A 20,923-nucleotide genomic window follows, 5' to 3' on the forward strand; every position below is an offset into this window, starting at 1 on the left:
GGTGAGCTGAAGCAGGGTGGGGTGTCGCCTTACCCGGGAAACACAAGGGTTTGGGGGATTTCCCTTTACTAGCGAAGGGAAGCCGTGACAGACTACCTGGAAAAAAGGACACTTCCGCCTAAATACTATGATTTTCCCAAGGTCTTAGCAACCGGCAGACAAGGTGATTCTCTCCTGTGTCTGGCTCAGCGGGTCCCATGCCCACGGAGCCTTGCTCACTGCTAGCACAGCAATCTGAGATCGATCTGTGAGGCAGGCGGCAGCCTGGCTTGGGGAGGCGCATCCGCCATTGCTGAGGCTTGAGTAGGTAAACAAAGCAGCCAGGAAGCTCAAACTGGGTGGAGCCCACAGCAGATCAACAAGGCCTACTGCCTCTAAACTCCACCTCTGTGGACTGGGCATAGCTGAACGAAAGGCAGCAGACAACTTCTGCAGACTTAAACATCCCTGTCTGACAGCTCTGAAGAGAGCAGTGGTTCTCCCAGCATGGCGTTTGAGCTCTGAGAAAGGACAGATTGCCTCCTCAAGTGGGTCCCTGACCCCCCATGTAGCCTAACTGGGAGACACCTCCCAGTAGGGGCCAACAGACACCTCATACAGGTGGCTGCCTCTCTGGGACGAAGCTTCCAGAGGAAGGATCAGGCAGCAATATTTGCTGTTCTGCAATATTTGCTATTCTGCAGCCTCCACTGGTGATACCCAGGCAAACATGGTCTGTAGTGGAACTCCAGCAAACTCCAGCAGATCTGCAGCTGAGGGACCTGACTGTTATAAGGAAAACTAACAAACAGAAAGAAATAGCATCAACATCAACAAAAAGGTCATCTGCACCAAAACCCCATCTGTAGATCACCAACATCAAAGACCAAAGGTAGATAAAACCACAAAGATGGGGAGAAACCAGAGCACCTCTTCTGCTCCAAAGGATCGCAGCTCCTCGCCAGCAACAGAACAAAGCTGGATGGAGAATGACTTTGACGAGTTGACAGAAGTAGGCTTCAGAAGGTCGGTAATAACAAACTTCTCCGAGCTAAAGGATGATGTTTGAACCCATCGCAAGGAAGCTAAAAACCTTGAAAAAATATTAGACGAATGGCTAACTAGAATAAACAGTGTAGAGAAGACTTCAATGACCTGATGGAGCTGAAAACCATGGCACGAGAACTACATGATGCATGCACAAGCTTCAGTAGCCAATGCGATCAAGTGGAAGAAAGGGTATCAGTGATTGAAGATCAAATTAATGAAATAAAGCAAGAAGACAAAGTTAGAGAAAGAAGAGTAAAAAGAAACAAACAAAGCATCCAAGAAATATGGGACTATGTGAATAGACCAAATCTACGTTTGATCGGTGTACCTGAAAGTGATGGGGAGAATGGAACCAAGTTGGAAAACACTCTTCAGGATATTAGCCAGGAGAACTTCCCCAACGTAGCAAGGCAGGCCAACATTCAAATTCAGGAAATACAGAGAAGGCCACAAAGGTACGCCTTGAAAAGAGCAACCACAAGACACATAATTGTCAGATTCACCAAGGTTGAAATGAAGGAAAAAGTGTTAAGGGCAGCCAGAGAGAAAGGTCGAGTTACCCACAAAGGGAAGCCCATGAGACTAACAGCGGATCTCTCAGCAGAAACCCTACTAGCCAGAAGGGAGTGGGGGTCAATATTCAGTATTCTTAAAGAAAAGAATTTTCAACCCAGAATTTCATATCCAGCCAAACTAAGCTTCATAAGTGAAGGAGAAATAAAATCCTTTACAGACCAGCAAATGCTGAGAGATTTTGTCACTACCAGGCCTGCCTTACAAGAGCTCCTGAAGGAAGCACTAAACATGGAAAGATACAACTGGTACCAGCCACAGCAAAAGCATGCCTAATTGTAAAGACCATCGATGCTATGAAGAAGCTGCATCTATTAACGGGCAAAATAACCAGCTAACATCATAATGACAGGATCAAATTCACACATAACAATATTAAGCTTAAATGTAAATGGACTAAATGCCCCAATTAAAAGACACAGACTGGCAAATTGGATAAAGAGTCAAGACCCATCAGTGTGCTGTATTCAGGAGACCCATCTCATGTGCAAAGACACATATAGGCTCTAAATAAAGGACTGGAGGAAGATCTACCAAGCAAAAAAACAAAACAACAACAACAACAAAAAAAACAGCAGGGGTTGCAATCCTAGTCTCTGATAAAACAGACTTTAAACCAACAAAGATCAAAAGAGACAAAGAAGGCCATTACATAGTGGTAAAGGGATCAATTCAACGAGAAGAGCTAACTATCCTAAATATATATGCACCCAATACAGGAGCATCCAGATTCATAAAACAAGTACTGAGAGACCTACAAAGAGACTTAGACTCCCACACAATAATAATGGGAGACTTTTTAACACCCCACTGTCCATATTAGACAGATCAAGGAGACAGAAAGTTAACAAGGATATCCAGGACTTGAACTCAGCTCTGCAACAAGGAGACCTAATAGACATCTACAAAACTCTCCACCCCAAATCAACAGAATATACATTTTTCTCAGCACCACATTGCACTTATTCTAAAATTGACCACATAGTTGGAAGTAAAGCACTCCTCAGCAAATGTAAAAGAACAGAAATCACAACAAACTGTCTCTCAGAACACAGTGCAATCAAATTAGAACTTAGGATTAAGAAACTCACTCAAAACCGCACAAGTACATGGAAACTGAACAACTTGCTCCTGAATGACTACTGGGTAAATAACAAAATGAAGGCAGAAATAAAGATGTTCTTTGAAACCAATGAGAACAAAACACAATGTACCAGAATCTCTGGGACACATTTAAACCAGTGTGGAGAGGGAAATTTATAGCACTAAAAGACCATAAGAGAAAGCAGGAAAGATCTAAAATCGACACCCTAACAAACGTCATAAAAGAACTAGAGAAGCAAGAGCAAACACATTCAAAAGCTAGCAGAAGGCAAGAAATAACTAAGATCAGAGCAGAACTAAAAGAGATAGAGACACAAAAACCCCTTCAAAAAATCAATGAATCCAGGAGCTGCTTTTTTGAAAAGATCAGCAAAGTTGATAGACCACTAGCAAGACTAATAAAGAAGAAAAAAGAGAAGAATCAAATAGACACAATAAAAAATGATAAAGGGGATATCACCACTGATCCCACAGAAATACAAACCACCATCAGAGAATACTATAAACACAGGTATACAAATAAACTAGAAAATCTAGAAGAAATGGATAAACTCCTGGACACATACTCCCAAGACTAAACCAGGAAGAAGTTCAACCTCTGAATAGACCAATAACTAACAGGCTCTGAAATTGAGGCAATAATTAATAACCTAACGACCAAAAAGAGTCCAGGACCAGATGGATTCACAGCCGAATTCTACCAGAGGTACAAATAGGAGCTGGTATCATTCCTTCTGAAAGTATTCCAATCAATAGAAAAGGAGGGAATCCTCCGCAACTCATTTTATGAGGCCAGTATCATCCTGATATCAAAGCCTGGCAGAGACACACACAAAAAGAGAATTTTAGACCAATATCCCTGATGAACATCAATGCAAAAATCCTCAATAAAATACTGGTAAACTAAATCTGTCAGCACATCAGAAAGCTTATCCACCAAAATCAAGTCAGCTTCATCCCTGGGATGCAAGGCTTGTTCAACATACGCAAATCAATAAATGTAATAACCACATAAACAGAACCAAGGACAAAAACCCTATGATTATCTGAATAGATGCAGAAAAGGCCTTCAATAAAATTTAACAGCCCTCCATGCTAAAAAACACTCAATAAACTAGGTATTGATGGAACATATCTCAAAATAATAAGAGCTATTTATGACAGACCCACAGCCAATATCATACTGAATGGGCAAAAACTGGAAGCATTCCCTTTGAAAACTGGCACAAGACAAGGATGCCCACTCTCACCACTCCTATTCAACATAGTGTTGGAAGTTCTGGTCAGGGCATTCAGATAAGAGAAAGAAATAAAGGGTATTCAATGAGGAAATGAGGAAGTCAAATTGTCCCTGTTTGCAGATGACATGATTGTATATTTAGAAAACCCCATCGTCTCAACCCTAAATCTCTTTAAGCTGATAAGCAGCTTCAGCAAAGTCTCAGGATACAGAATCAATGTGCCAAAATCACAACCATTCCTATACACCAATAAAAGACAAACAGAGAGCCGAATCATGAGTGAACTCCCATTCACAATTGCTACAAAGGGAATAAAATACCTAGGAATCCAACTTACAAGGGATGTGAAGGACCTCTTCAAGTAGGACTACAAACCACTGCTCAATGAAATAAAAGAGGACACAAACAAATGGAAGAATATTCCATGCTCATGGATAGGAAGAATCAATATCATGAAAATGGCCATACTGCCCAAGGTAATTTATAGATTCAATGTCATCCCCATCAAGCTACCAATGACTTTCTTCACAGAATTGGGAAAAACTACTTTAAAGTTCATATGGAACCAAAAAAGAGCCCACATTGCCAAGACAATCCTAAGCCAAAAGAACAAAGCTGGAGGCATCATGCTACCTGACTTCAAACTATACTACAAGGCTACAGTAACCAAAACAGCATGGTACTGGTACCAAAACAGAGATATAGACCAATGGAACAGAGCAGAGGCCTCAGAAATAACGCCACACACCTAAAACCATCTGATCTTTGACAAACCTGACAAAAACCAGAAATGGGGAAAGTATTCCGTATTTAATAATGGTGCTGGGAAAACTGGCTAGCCATATATAGAAAGCTGAAACTGGATCCCTTCCTTACACCTTATACAAAAATTAATTCAAGATGGATTAAAGACTTAAGTTTTAGACCTAAAACCATGAAAACCCTAGAAGAACACCTAGGCAATACCATTCAGGATATAGGCATGGGCAAGGACTTTGTGACTAAAGCACTAAAAGCAATGGCAACAAAAGCCACAATAGACAAACGGGATCTAATTAAACTAAAGAGTTTCTGCATGGCAAAAGAAACTACCATCAGAGTGAACAGGCAACCTACAGAGTGGGAGAAAATTTCTGCAATCTACTCATCTGACAAAGGGCTAATATCCAGAATCTACAAAGAAACAAGTTTACAAGAAAAAAACAACCCCCCCAAAAAGTGGGCAAAGGATATGAACAGACACTTCTCAAAAGAAGACATTTATGCAGCCAACAGACACATGAAAAAATGCTCATCATCACTGTTCATCAGAGAAATGCAAATCAAAAACACAATGAGATACCATCTCAGGCCAATGAGAATGGTGATCATTAAAAAGTCCATCCCACGCCAGTTAGAATGGCAATCATTAAAAAGTCAGGAAACAACAGATGCTGGAGAGGTTGTGGAGAAATAGGAATGCTTTTACACTGTTGGTGGGAGTGTAAATTAGTTCAACGATTGTGGAAGACAGTGTGGTGAATCCTCAAGGATCTAGAACTAGAAATACCATTTGACCCAGCAATCCCATGACTGGGTATATACCCAAAGGATTATAAATCATGCCACTATAAAGATACATGCACATGTATGTTTATTGTGGCACTATTCACAATAGCAAAGAATTGGAACCAACCCAAATGTCCATCAATGATAGACTGAATTAAGAAAATGTGGCACATATACACCATGGAATACTGTGCAGCCCTAAAAAAGGATGAGTTCATGTCTTTTGCAGGGACACAGATGAAGCTGGAAACCATCATTCTCAGCAAACTATCCCAAGGACAGAAAACCAAGCACCGCATGTTCTCACTCATAGGTGGGAATTGAACAATGAGATCACTTGGACACATGGCAGGGAACATCACACACCAGGGCCTGTCAGGGGTTGGGGGGCTGGGGGAAGGATAGCATTAGGAGAAATACCTCATGTAAATGATGAGTTGATGTGTGCAGCAAACCAACATGGCACATGTATACCTGTGTATCAAACCTGCACGTTGTGCACATGTACCCTAGAACTTAAAGTATAATAAAAAAATGCAATGAAAAAAGCAAAAAAAACTCATTGATTGTAGTGTCTTGTGTGTGCGTTACCAAAAAAAAGAGTATTATACTAGTTTATGTACAGTTTAAAAATCTTATAATATGCATACAATTCACCCCATCCTTTGTCATATTTTTAATTACATTTATTAATGTTCTAATCCCCACACACATATTTGTTTACACTGTTATTATTGACTGATGAATAAAATAATAAAATGCCCTCTGTGTGAAGCCCCAAAATTTGAGACAGGTCTCAGGTAATTTAAAAAGTTAATTTTGCTAAGGTTGAGGATGCGCATCCATGACACAGACTCAGGAGGTCCTGGTGACATTATGTCCAAGGTGGTGAGAGCACAGGATGGTTTTATACATTTGGGGAGACATGATACATCGGTCAACATATGTAAGATAAACATTTGTTCAGTCTGCTCCAGAAAGGAGGAACAACTCAAAGCAAAAGTGGGACAACTCAAAGTGGGGAGGAGGCTTCCAGGCCACAGGTAGGTGAGAGACAAACGATTGCATTCTTTTGAGTTACTGATTCACCTTTCCAAAGGAGGCAGTCAGACACGCATTTATCTCTGAGCAGAGGGATGACTATGAATAGAATGGGAGGCAGGTTTGCCCTAAGCAGTGCCCAGCTTGAATATTTCCTTTAGCTTAGTGTTTTTCGGGCCCTGAGATATTTCCTTGTCACATCCTTATCTTCATCTTTACCATTTTCTGGATTTTTGTTTGTGCAGATTCATGTTTCTGCTTGGTATTTTCTCTGCCTGAGGAAATGTGTTATGATGTCTTGTAATGCATTTTTACTGGGATGAATAATCTAAATGTTCTTTGTCTGAAAAAATTATGTCATTTTTGTGTTTATTATAGAGATAATTGTGAGCCCATTAAAAGAAAAATTCATCTCTCAAAATAGTTTGCTGTTTTCTAACACAACCATTTCTTACAGTTCCTATCTCTGTGCTAAAATTCCTCATTTGATCATCCGTAATGTCTCCTTTTTCCAATAGTGATATTGTTTGGATCTGTGTTCCCACCTAAATCTCAAGTTGAATTGTAATCCTCAGTGTTGGAGGTGGGCCCCAGTGGGAAGTGATTGGATCATGGGGGTGGAACATTCATGAATGGTCTAGCACCATCCCTTTGGTGCTGTTCTCATGATAGTGAGTTCTCAGGAGATGTGGTTGTTAAAAAGAATGTAGCACCTCCCCCATCTCTCTTCCTCTTGTATTGGCCATGTGAGGAGCTAGATTCTCCCTTGCCTATTCGATGATTGAAAGTTTCCTAAGGCCACCTAGCTATGCTTCCTGTACAGCCTACAGAACCATGAGCCATTTAAAGTTACCTAAAAATGTGCAACCAGCTTTTGCATTGGGTAACAGGCAGAGGTTGAAACAGCTTGGAAGGCTCAAAGGAAGACAGGAAGATGAAGGAAGAGTTAAAATTTCCTAAATAAGTGTTTAATGGGTTGTCACTAGATTGCTAATAGTGATATGGACACTGAAGAACAGGTTGAGGAGGTCTCAGATGGAAATGAGGAACTTATGGGGAAGTGGAGCAAAGGTCACCTTTGTTATGGATTAGCAAAAAACTGGTGGCATTTTGCCCCTGCTCTAGGGATCTGTGGAACTTTTGAAATTGAGAGCGATGGTTTCGGATTTTTAGTAGAAGAAATTTCTAAGCATCATAACATTCAAGATGGGGCTTGGTGGCTTCTAATAGCCTATGCTCATGTGTGTCAACAACAAAAAATTATGTAAAACTGGCCCTTATATTTAAAAGAAAAGCAGGGTATGAAAGTTTTGATAATTTGTAGCCTGGCCACATGGTAGAAAATAAAAACTCATTTTGTGGTGAGGAATTCAAGCCAGCTGTGCAAATCTGCTTAAGCAACAAGGAGCTGAATGTTAATATCCAAGAGAATGGGGAGGCCTCAAAGTCATCTCAGAGACCTCTGCAGTAATCCCTCCTCCCATCACAGGCCGAGAAGACTAGGAGGGGAGAATGCTTTCATGGACCACACCCAGGGCCCCACTGCCCTGTGCAGTGTCTGGACACTGCTCCCGGTAGCCTGGGTGCCCCAGTGCCAGCCTTGGCCCAAAGGACCCCAATATAGCTTGAGCCACTGGTTCAGAGGGTGCAAACCATGAGCTTTGGTAGCTTCCACTTGGTGTTAAGCCTGTGGGTGCACAGAGAAAGTGTTGAGGCCTCGGAGCCTCGGACTAGATTTCAGAGGATGTATAAAAAAGCATGGATGTCCAGGCAGAAGCCTGCTGCAGGGGTGGAGTCTTCATGGAGAACCTTTACTAGGGCAGTGCAGAGGGGAAATGTGTGATTGGCACCCCCACACAGAGTCCACCCTGAGCACTGCCTAGTGGAGCTCTGAGAAGAGTGCCACCATCCTCCAGACCCCAGAATCATAGATCCACTGACCGCTTGTAGTTAGGCCTGGAAAACGCGTAAGCACTCAGTGGCAGCCCACTGGGGGCTAAACCATGTAAAGTCACAGGGTTGGAGCTGCCCAAGGCTTTGGGAGCCCAACCCTTGCAGCAGTGTGCCCTGGATGTGGGACATGAAATCGAAGGAAATCATTTTGGAGCTTTAAGATTTAATGACTTCCCTGCTGAGTTTCAGACTTGCACAGGACCTGTAGCCCCTTTCTATTGCTGATTTCTCCCAAGTATTTACCCAAAACTTATGCCTCCATTGTATTTTAGAAGTAATTAACTTTTTTTTTTATTTTACATGCTGATGGGCAGAAGGGATTAGCCTTGTCTCAGATGAGACTTTGGATTGTGGACTTTTAGGTTAATGCTTCAATTAGGTTAATGCTTGGGGGACTGTTGGGATTGTATTTTGCAACGTAAGAAGGACATGAGATTTGGGAGGGGCCAGAGCAGAATTATAAGGTTTGGATCTGTGTCCCCACCCCAATGTCAGGTTGGATTGTTCCCCAATGTTGGAGGTAAGGCCTGGTGGGAGGTGATTGGATCATGGGGGTGGAATTAAATAGTGGAAAACAATGACTATTTAAAGTGGAATATGTTAGTAAATCTGAGAGAAAGTAGAAAACACTTAGAAAACATTTCAAATATTTAAAATGCTATAAAAGCAAGTCAAAAATCAGAAAAAAAATTGTATGCTAGAATGAAACATGGCATGTAAAATTATGTTTCAAAATTATTTACTAGGCTACTGCATGTTTTTACAAAATATTCATGATGCATTATTTGAAATCATTTATAAGAGAATGGCACAAAATTGTTGACCTCAACCTAAAACCTAAGTATAAATACAGATAAATATGTGGAAAGATCCACCTATAAATTTTATCAAGTATTATATCCACATTATGATGTTACTGGTATTATGGTATTATTTCATTACTGCTATTCAAGTTTTTCATACCTTTTATGTGTTTTCCAAGTTATTCTGCAATAAATAGGAATTATGCTCATGGTCAGAAAAAAAAAGATATCAACAAAAATGTATTTTTCTTTGGCAGAATTCTGATAAGAATAACTTGGAAAAGTGTAAAATTTGTTTTTGGCAGTTATTTTTCCTCTTTTGACTCCCTAAATCTATATATACTCAGCCTGTTCAGTTACACTTCTTGCCTTTCCATGTTCCTGACTACTAACCATAATAAATGTTAACTTATTATAAATTATGAGGATAAACAGATATATTCACATTAACGATGTGACAGATTACAGTATAGCAAGGAAGGTCCAGAATGAATGCATTAAATGCGATTTTTTTCATGTGCAGGGACTACAATACAGATCAAAACATCCTCAACACATGCTAACAGAACTGACATTTTATTGAAAAACACAGATAATTTTTTAAAACTGGTAAAATTCTTAGTATACACAGGAGTGCTAAATTATATGTATTTATGCTGATATATGTTATTACATTATATATTAAATGTTATTTACCATATTATTAAATAACATATATTTTTAGTCTTCTATAGATTGACTTTTATTATCTCAATGGTCTTCTTTGAAGACCAATTTTAATTTTTTCAAAGTCTATTTTATCAACTTATTTTTAATCAATTTTATGTTTATATTTTGATATCATATATAATTTAATGGTCAAAAATATTTTCTGTCATTTTTTTTTCATAGAATTTTATAGCTTGACATTTTGGCCTAAGAGTGTGTTAATTTCTGTATATGGTTTGAAATATGGATCAAAGTTCATGTTTTTCATATGTGTATCACATTTTCCCAGCATCATATTGTTTAAATACTATCATTTCTTCATTAGATTGACTTTACAATTTAGTCAAAATGAATTGGTGACATGTATGGGTAATTCTGGTCCTTCTATTTCTATTCATCCATCCTTTCTTGAGGCTCACACTACATTGGCTAAACTAGTTACAGAGTAAATCTGGAAATTACCAGTGTAGATTCTCCAAGTTTGAGATTCTCTTTCAGATTGTTTTGCATATTCTAGTTTATTCACCTTTTATATTAGCTTTGGAATCATCATGCTAATGTCTACAAATATTTTTCTGGGACATTGGCTGGAATTGCATTAACTCTATAGATCAATAAGACTCTATAAATCTATAGATTTGAATCCTTCAATCCGTAAATATGATACTCCTCTCCACTTAATAATTATTTACTTTTTAAGTGTGTTTACTTGCACTCTTAGCATACAGATATTTTTGGTTTTTAATTGATAACTGTAACAAACTGCCACAAATTTAGTTGTTTACACAACACAAATATATTAGAGTCTAAAGGTCAGAAATCTAAATTAGGTTTATCTCAGCTAAAATGAAGGCATTGGCAGGGCTTTGTTCCTTCTGTTGGCTCCAGAGGAGAATCTACTTGATTGTCTTTAGAAGATCATTCTTTGGCTCATGGACTTTACCTCCACCTCTATTGAATACTGTAGCATTTTCCAATGTTTCTCTTATTCTAACCACCTTCCTTCTACTTATAAGAACCCTTGTGATTATGTTGGACTCACCTAGATAATCTAGGATAATCCCAATCTCAAAATATTTAGTCATATCTGCAAATTTCCTTCTACCATAAAATGTGATGTTTTTGAGTTCAGGGGTTGCTCTGTAAACATCTTTTGGAGGGGGACTGTTATTCTGCATACCACAGAGATCCTATAATTTGTATTTAGAGTTTCACCTAAATATGTTATGTTTATATTATTTTATGTTTTAATTAGGTGGATTTAATCATTGTATAATATATACATATATCCAAACATCATGTTGTACACCTTAAATATATACAAAAGTTATGTCAGTTAAACCTTAATAAATTGGTAGAAACACGGATGAATGATACAAAAAAGTATTTCACTGAAAGAAAAACCACAAATAACAGTGAATAGAGTACTCTTTTGAGAAATCATAAAAGAGATATGATACTAACTAAATTCTCTTCTTTCGTTTTAGGATATGACTTAAAATTATATAAGTACACATGCATTCACTATAATACAGTTTTAGAAATTATATACTAAAAAGTGTTATCACTTTGGAAATTTCTATGTACATACAGCATTTCCAACTGACAGAATTTTTTTACTGTTCAGAATGTTCCCCCGCCCCCAATGAAAAAGATGCTATGTAATCTATTAGAGCAATTGTTTTAATATTGAAAAAGATACTTCAACTGATTGTTTTTTTACTTCCAGACATTAATGGTCTTAAACATATTCATCCATTCTGAACGTAACAAAACAAACTAAAATCCTGCCTGTAACCATATAGTAATTGTTTTTTATACTTTCTCCCTTTTGATGTATATGCTATAACCTCTATTTCCATTGGAATCAAATTTGTATTAATAACTTACTATTTATAACATTTTTAACACATTTCTGCAATATAAGTAGCTTATTTATAACCTACTTCTCAAAAATGCATACTAGTTTCATGCTGCAGATGGCCTCACACCATCCGGCACTTGTCTTACTCTTTTGCCCTCTCTCTCTTTTTTTGTGTGTTTGTGTGTGTGTGTATTTCCCTCTATCTCTCTCCATTAGGTTAAGAGTTAAGAAGTGTCAACACAAGAAAATGGGACCAGGCGTGGTGGCTCACGCCTGTGATCTCAGCCATTTGGGAGGCTTAGGTGGGTGGATCAGGAGGTCAGCAGTTCGAGACCAGCCTCATCAACATGGTGAAACCCCATCTCTACTAAAAATACAAAAAGTAGCCAGGTGTGTTGGGGCACACCTGTAATCCCAACTACTCGGGAGGCTGAGGAAGGAGAATCCCTTGAACCTGGGAGATAGATAGAGGTTGCAGTGAGCCCAGATCACACCGCTGCACTCCAGCCTGGGCGAAAGAGCAAGACTCTGTCACACACACACACACACAAAGAAAATGGGGAGAGAAGACTAGGAGATATCTCTTGAGTATCAATTCCATCATACCCTTCCATTGTTCATACATATTCTTAAAAAACGGGGAAAAAAGATAATGAAAAAGAGTGAAATATTCTTGGGTGGACTATGCTTAATCCTTCATAAATTGGTGACTTAAGGCTTTGAAAGGTATTTTAAAAGTCAATGAGAAAATGTTTTAGTCTTTGACAGAAAATGGACGCTGTGGATCAGCAATGAAGGGACCTGAGAGGCAGGAGAGTCTTTTGGGAGCGCTAAAGGAGAATCCTTGCAAATGATGACTAGTTGATAAGTGAAAAAAGTTTAGAGAATTTAGGAATCTGGAGTAAAGCATTCCAGCTGACGAAGAATGGCTGTGGCCTCTATCCAATGTATTTCCTATTTGAGCCAAGCCTCATTTGGCAAAAATAAATTCTTAAGGAACCTAAGTGCATGCGTTTTCTCAGGAGTCCACAATTCCTATGTACAGTCGTCTAGAAGGCACAAAAAGTTCCTTGAAGTGTAGCCCAGCACTGAGGAGTGGGTGCACAGGATGCAAAACAGGCATCACCATGCTCGCAGCTACACCCCCATCCTCAGGGACACCACATATGCAGTGCATGCTGTACATTACCCTTCTCAGAAAGGTGAAATTTATATTTTAGTTCACATAAATGACACCTCCCTGTGAAAGGCACTGTACGCTGAATGGCTGAATGTGGCATCCCAGACCAAATGCTCCCTTTTCATGCTGTTTTTATTCAAGTCCCTATAGGTGTATGCCTTCGCATGGCCACCAAGATTTATGCCAAGGGACAATGCAACTTGTAACCCCCAGCACTCCCCTTTTCATCCTGCCCCGAGTGAGATTTTGACATGCAGATTTTTGTTTTGTTTTTGTTTTCAGATGAAGTCTGGCTCTGTCACCCAGTCTGGCATGCATTGGCGTGATCTCAGCTCACTGCAACCTCCGCTTCCTGGGTTCAAGCACTTCTCCTGCCTCAGCCTCCCGAGTAGCTTAGGTTAAAGGCACACACCACCTCGAATGGCTAATTAACACGCAGATTTTTAGACTGATCAAGAATAGAGCTTTTCACTTCATCTCTTCCCCAAAGGCGAGTAATCCTTGTCTGAATTATCCCATTAGTTTTCACGTTAATTTGCTTGTCTCATTAAAAATCCTCAAAATCAGGCCAGGCACAGTGGCTCATGCCTGTTATCCCAGCACTTTGGTAGGCCAAGGCTGGTAGATCATCTGAGGTCAGGAGTTTGAGACCAGCCTGGACAACGTGGTGAAACTCCATCTCAACTACAAATACAAAAAATCAGCCGGGTGTGGTGGTGGGTGACTGTAACCCCAGCTAATCTGGATGCTGAGGCAGGAGAATCATTTGAACCCAGGAGACAGAGGTTGCAGTGAGCCGAGGTTGTGCCGTTGTGCTCCAGCCTGGGCAACAAAAGTGAAAATCCATCTAAAAAAAAAAAAAAAAAATCTTCAGAGTCGGCCGGGCATGGTGGCTCATGCCTGTAATCCCAGTACTTTGGGTGGTCCAGGTGTGCATATCACTTAAGGCCAGGAGTTTGAGACCACCCTGGCCAACATGGTCAAACACCATCTCTACTAATAATACAAACTTAGCGGGGTGTGGTGGCTCGCGCCTGTAATCACAGCTACTCAGGAGGATCACTTGAACCTGGGAGGCAGAGGTTGCAGTGAGCGGAGATAGTGCCAATATACTCCAGCCCGGGTTACAGAGTGAGACCCTGTCTCAAAAAAAAAACAACAAACAAACAAAAAAACCCCAAAAACTTTTAAAATTACAGTTAAGTAGGCAGGGCCAACCACTCACCAAAGCTCTCTATGGTCCTAAAACTCCAGCTGTGCTGCACAGACCCTAATTCCAATGGAAAAACCACAGAATACAACCACCTGGATCCAAACTACTAGAGAAGAGTCAGACAGTACCAGGTTGGAGAGAGCAGAAATTTAATTTCTTCTTCAGGCTATGCAGTGGGAAGAACCCATAGAAATTAATACGAGAGACAGACAAGACAGATAATGGGCTGGAAGACAAGAAATGCTATTTAATTTTTCTTAGTTCCATGGTTCTTTATAGTACATTTATTTGGGCTCAGTCTCTCTCTCTCGCTGTGTGATTAACAATTAATAGTGCTAGGATTTTTTAGCTTTAATATTTACTGTTTGCATTAATATATTTTCCATCCTTTTACCCAACTTTCACGTAGGTCTTCATATTTAAAATGGTTTCGTTTTAGAAAGTGTACAGCTGTTTCTTATTTTTACATAATTTGACAGTGTCTCTCTTAATTGAAGCATTTATATCATTTATTATAATTATTTATGTACATGCGTTTAAATCTACTGGCTTTCTAGTTGTTTTCTGTACTTCATCCTTTTGTAATTCCTAATTTTCCTGTTTTTCTGCCTGATGGTAGATTTAGTATTTTTATCATTCAGTTATATTTTCTGCACTCTTGGCTTATTAGTTGGTCACTTTAAAAGAATAGCGGTTGCTCTGGAGTTTTCAGTGTTCATATTTAATTCATCACAGTCTATCTATCTTCAAAGAATATTTTACTAGTTTATGAACCCTGAACATTTGAGACAGGTCTCAGTTAATTTCAGAAGTTAATTTTTCCAAGGTTGAGGATGCACACCCATTACCCAGCCTCAGGAGGTCCTGAGGGCGTGTGCCCAAGGTGGTCAGAGCACAGTTTGGTTTTAAATATTTTAGGGAGACATGAGACATCAGTCAAAATATGTAAAATGAATGTTGGTTAGGTCCGGTCCAAAAAGGTGGGACAATTCAAAGTAGGGAGGAGGCTTCCAGGTCACAGGTAGATGAGAGAGAAATGGTTGCATTCTTTTGAGTTTACTGATGAAGGTTTCCAAAGAAGGCAATCAGATAAACATTTATCTCTGTGAGCAGAGGGATGACTCTGAATAAAATGGGAGGCAGCTTGAATTTTCCCTTTAACTTAGCGATTTTGGGACTGAGATATTTCCCTTTCACATCCATATCTTCATCTTTACCATTTTCTGGGTTTCGAATTTTTATGTGGTGATTCATGTTTCTGCCTGGTATTTTATCTGCCTGAGGAAATGTGTTAACATTGTTATATTTATAATGGGGTGAAGAATCTAAATGTCCTTTGTCCAAAAAAATTATCTTGTCATTTTTGTGTTTATTATAGAGATAATTGTGAGCCCATCAAATGAAATATTTATCTCTCAAAATAGTTTGTTTTGCTTTTTTCTAATTGTAAATTTCTAAGAAATTTACAGTTCCTATCTCTGTGGTAAATTTCCTCATTTGCTTGTAATCGACTAATGTTTGAAGTGGCTCCTTGTGGGAGTTGTTTGGATCATGGGGGTGAAATTCTCATGAATGGTCTGGCACCATCCCTTTGGTGCTGTTCTCATGATAGTGAGTTCTCACGAGGTCTGCTTGTTAAAAACTGTGTAACAGCCGGGTGCAGTGGCTCACGCCTGTAATCCCAACACTTTGAGAGGCCAAGGCAGGCAGATCATGAGGTCAGAACATCGAGACCATCCTGACCAACATCTTGAAACCCCCTCTCTACTAAAAATAACAAAAATATTAGCTGGGTGTGGTGGTGTGCGCCTGTAGTCCTAGCTACTCAGGAGCCTGAGGCAGGAGAACCACTTGAGCCTGGGAGGTGGAGGTTGCAGTGAGCCGAGATCGCACCACTGCACTCCAGCCTGGCGACAGAGTGAGACTCCGTCTCAAAAAAAAAAAAAAAAAAAAAAAAAGTGTGTAGCAACTACCCAACCTCTGTTTTCCTCCTGTTCTAGCCATGTGAGGTGTTAGCTCCTCTTTTGAATCTGCCATGGTTGAAAGTTTCCTGAGGCCTCCCAGCCATGCTTCCTGTACAGCCTAAAGAACCATGAGCCAAATAAAGATACCTAAAAATGTGGCAACAGCTTTTGAATTGGGTAACGGGCAAAAGTTGACACAGTTTGGAAGGCTCGGAGGGAGACAGGAAGATGAAGGAAAAGTTGAAATTTCCTAAAGAATTGTTAAATGGCAGTCATTAAATTGCTGATAGTGATATGGACACTAAAGGCCAGGCTGAGGAGGTCTCAGATGGAAATGAGGAACTTGTTGGGAAGTGGATTAAAAGTCACCTTTGTTATGGATTAGCCAAGAAACTGGTGGCATTGTGCCCCTGCCCTAGGGATCAGTGGAACTTTTGAACTTGAGAGTGATGATTTAGGGTTTCTGGTAGAAGAAATTTCTAAGCAGCATGGCATTCAAGATGGGGCCTGGTTCCTTCTAATAGCCTATGTTCAATTATGTCAACAACAACAAAAAAAATGATGTAAAACTGGCACTTAAAAGGAAAGCAGAGTGTAAAACTTTTGAAAATTTGCAGCCTGGCCACATGGTAGAAAATAAAAACTCATTTTCTTGTGAGGCATTGGAGCCAGCTGCGGAAATCTGCATAAGTAACAAAGAGCTGAATGTTAATACCCAGGACAATGGGGAAGTCACTGAGGCATTTCAGAGACCTCTGCAAGTAGCCCTTCCTCTCATCACAGGGCAATAAGCCTTGGAGGGGAAAATGCTTTCATGGGGCACACCCAGGGCCCCACTGCCCCGTGTAGCCTCGGAACACTGCTCCCCATATCCTGGGTGCTCAAGCGCCAGCCTCAGCCCAAAGTGTCCCTGATACAGCTTCAGCCACTAGTTCAGAGGGTGCCAACCATGAGCCTTGGTGGCTTCCACCTGGTGTTAAGCCTGTGGTACACAGTAAAGAGTTGAGACTTGGGAGCCTCAGCCTAGATTTTAGAGGATGTATGAAAAAGCAAGGATGTCCAGGCAGAGGCCTGCTGCCGAGGTGATGCCCTCATGGAGAACCTTCACTAGGGCAGTGCAGAGGGGAAATGTGGGGTTGGAGCCCCCATGCTGAGTCCACACTGGAGCACTGCCTAGTGGAGCTATGAGAAGAGGGCCACCATCCTCTAGACCCCAGAAGGGTAGATCCACTGACAGCTTGTAATTGGGCCTGGAAAAAGCATAGGAACTCAATGCCAGCCCATTGAAGGTTGAACCCTGCAAAGTGACAGGATTGGAGCTGCCCAAGGCTTTGGGAGCCCACTCCTTGTGCCAGTGTACCCTGGATGTGGGACATGAAATCGAAGGAGATCATTTTGGAGCTTTAAGAAGATTTAATGACTTCCCTGCTGGGTTTCAGACTTACACAGGACCTGTAGCCCCTTTCTATTGGCTGATTTCTCCCAATTATTTAACTACATTGTGTCTTAGAAGTAATTAACTGTTTTTTGTTTGTTTGTTTTTCTTTTTTACAGGCCCACAGACAGAAGGGATTAGCCTTATCTCAGATGAGATTTTGGACTTGGACTTTTGAATTAATCCTTCAATGAGTGAGTTAAAGCTTTGAGGGACTGTTAGGATTGTATTTTGCAATGTGAGAAGGACATGAGATTTGGGAGAGGCCAGGGCATTATTATAAGGTTTGGCTCTGTGTGTGTCCTCACCCAAATCTCAGGTTGAATTGTAATCCCCAGTGTTGGAGGTGGGGCCTGGTGGGAGGTGGTTGGACCATGGGGGTGGAATTCTGGTGGAATTAAATACTGGAAAAAAAAAAACACTAAAATGGAATTGTTTAGTGAATCTGAGAAAAAGTAGAAAAGACTTAGAAAACATTTAAAATATTTAAAATGCTATAAAAGTCAGAAATCAATCAGAAAAAAATGTATGATATAATGAAACGTGGTACATAAAATCATTTTTCATAAAATATTCATGATGCATTATTTGAAATCATTTATAGGAAAATAGCACAAAATTGTTGACCACACCTAAAACATAAGTATAAATACAGATAAATATGTGGAAAGATCCACATCTTAATTTTATCAAACACTGTATCCACATTATGATGTTAATGGTATTATGCTATTATTTCATTACTGCTTTTCATGCTTTTCATACCTTGTATGTGTTTTCCAAGTTGTTCTTCAATAAATAGGAATTACCCTCATGGTCAGAAAGATATCAATAAAAATATAATTTGCTCTGACAGAATTCTGATATAAGAATAACTTGGAAAGATGTAAAATTTGTTTTTGGCAGTCATTTTGCCTCTTTTGAGTTCCCTAAATCTATATACTCAGCCTGTTCAGTTAGAGTTCTTGCCTTTCCATGTTCCTACTAACCAAAATAAATGTTAATTTATTATAAATTATGAGGATAAACTAATATATTCACATTAACGATGTGACACAATTATAGTATAGCAAGGAAGGTCCAGAATGAATATGTAACCATTAAACCAGATTTGTTCATGTGTTGGGACAACACAGATCAAAACCATCTCAACCCATGCTAACAGAACTGACATTTTATTGAAAAACAGATAATTTTTAAAAAGTAAGTAGAAAAATTCTTGGTATACACAAGAGTGTTAAATTATATGTTCTTATTTATGCTGATATATGTTATTTATTATATTATTAAATTACATGCATTTTTAGTATTCTGTAGTTTGCATTTTTGTTATCTCAGTGGTCTTATTTGAAGACAAAGTTTGACTTTTTAAAAAAGTCTATTTTTAATCAATTTTATTTTTATATTTTGATATCATAGATAATAATTTAATGGCCAAAAATATTTTCTCTCATTTATTTTAATGAAATATGATAGTTTGACCTTTTGGCCTAAGATTGTGTTAATTTAATTTCTGTATATGGTTTGAAATATGGATCAAGATTCATATTCTTCATATATATATCACATTTCCCAGCATCTCGTTGTGTAAATATTAATATTATTATTTCATTTCTTCATTAGATTGACTTTACAGCTTAGTCAAAATGAATTGGTGACATACATAGATATTTCTGGTCTTTCCATTCAATTTGTCCATCCTTCAGTACCACACTATATTGGCTAATCTAGTTAGACAGTAAAGCTGAAAATTACAAGTGTAAATTCTCCAGCTTTGTGATTCTCTTTCAGATTGTTTGTTTTGGATATTTCAGATTGTTTGTTTTGGATATTCTAGTTTATTTGCTTTTATATCAGTTTTAGAATCATCATGCTAATGTCTACAAATGTCCTTCTAGGACATTGGCTGGAATTTCATTAACTCTATAGAGCAATAGAACTCTGTAAATTTATAGATTTGAATCCTTCAATCGATAAATATGATACTCCTCTCCACTTACTTAGTAATTATTTGATTCTCTTAGTATATTTACAGATGTTTTTGGTTTTCTACTGATACTGTAAGAAATTGCCACAAATTTAGTTGTTTACAACAACACAAATTTATTATGTTAGAGTCTAAAGGTCAGAAATAATATAAATTAGCTTTACCTCGGCTAAAATGAAGGCATTGGCAGGGCTTTGTTCCTTCTGTTGGCTCTAGAGGAGAATCTACTTGATTGTCTTTAGAAGATTCTACTTGCTTCCTCCATTCTTTGGCTCATGGCCTTTATACCTTTTCCAATGTTTCTCTTATTCTAACCACCTTCCTTCTACTTATAAGGAACCCTGTGATTATGTTGGGCTCACCTAGATAATCTAGGATAATCCCAATCTCAAAATATTTAATCATATCTACAAATTTCTTTCTACCACAAAATGTGATGTTTTTGAGTTCAGGGGTTACTCTGTAAACATCTTTTGGAGGGGGACTGTTTGTTTGTTATTCTGCATACCACAGAGATCTTGTAATTTGTATTTAGACTTTCACCTAAATATTTTATGTTGTGTTTTAATTAGCTTGATTTAATCATTGTATAATATATACATATATCCAAACATCATGTTGTACACCTTAAATATATACAAAGTTGGTAGAAACACGGATGAATGATACAAAAAAGTATTTCTTTTTTTTGTTATTATTTTTTTATTATACTTTTTAAGTTTTAGGGTACATGTGCACATTGTGCAGGTTAGTTACATATGTATACATGTGCCATGCTGGTGCGCTGCACCCACTAACTCATCATCTAGCATTAGGTATATCTCCCATTGCTATCCCTCCCCCCACCCCACCACAGTCCCCAGAGTGTGATATTCCCCTTCCTGTGTCCATGTGATCTCATTGTTCAATTCCCACCTATGAGTGAGAATATGCGGTGTTTGGTTTTTTGTTCTTGCGATAGTTTACGGAGAATGATGATTTCCAAATTTCATCCATGTCCCTACAAAGGACATGAACTCATCCTTTTTTATGGCTGCATAGTATTCCATGGTGTATATGTGCCACATTCTCTTAATCCAGTCTATCATTGTTGGACATTTGGGTTGGTTCCAAGTCTTTGCTATTGTGAATAATGCCGCAATAAACATACGTGTGCATGTGTCTTTATAGCAGCATGATTTATAGTCCTTTGGGTATATACCCAGTAATGGGATGGCTGGGTCAAATGGTATTTCTAGTTCTAGATCCCTGAGGAATCGCCACACTGACTTCCACAATGG

At 39.0% G+C, this 20,923-nt stretch overlaps 1 long non-coding RNA gene and 1 other non-coding gene across 7 annotated transcripts in view; one reads left to right on the forward strand and one right to left on the reverse strand.

Moving 5' to 3' along the window:
• Window positions 1-20,923, forward strand: part of LOC105373347 (periphilin-1) — a 90,847-nt gene that overhangs the window by 19,396 nt on the left and 50,528 nt on the right. For all 6 annotated transcript variants that reach the window (XR_005647084.2, XR_938514.3, XR_005647083.2 and 3 more), the window contains exon 2: window positions 17,776-17,850. This is a non-coding gene — a long non-coding RNA (periphilin-1). The remainder of the gene's footprint in view (window positions 1-17,775; window positions 17,851-20,923) is intronic.
• On the reverse strand, window positions 13,019-13,147 carry MIR513A1 (microRNA 513a-1). The gene has a single exon (NR_030231.1). It is a non-coding gene; the product is annotated as a microRNA 513a-1 (primary transcript).

Source organism: Homo sapiens, chromosome X (assembly GCF_000001405.40).
Source record: "Homo sapiens chromosome X, GRCh38.p14 Primary Assembly".
In the NCBI taxonomy this organism is placed as follows: Eukaryota; Metazoa; Chordata; class Mammalia; order Primates; family Hominidae; genus Homo; species Homo sapiens.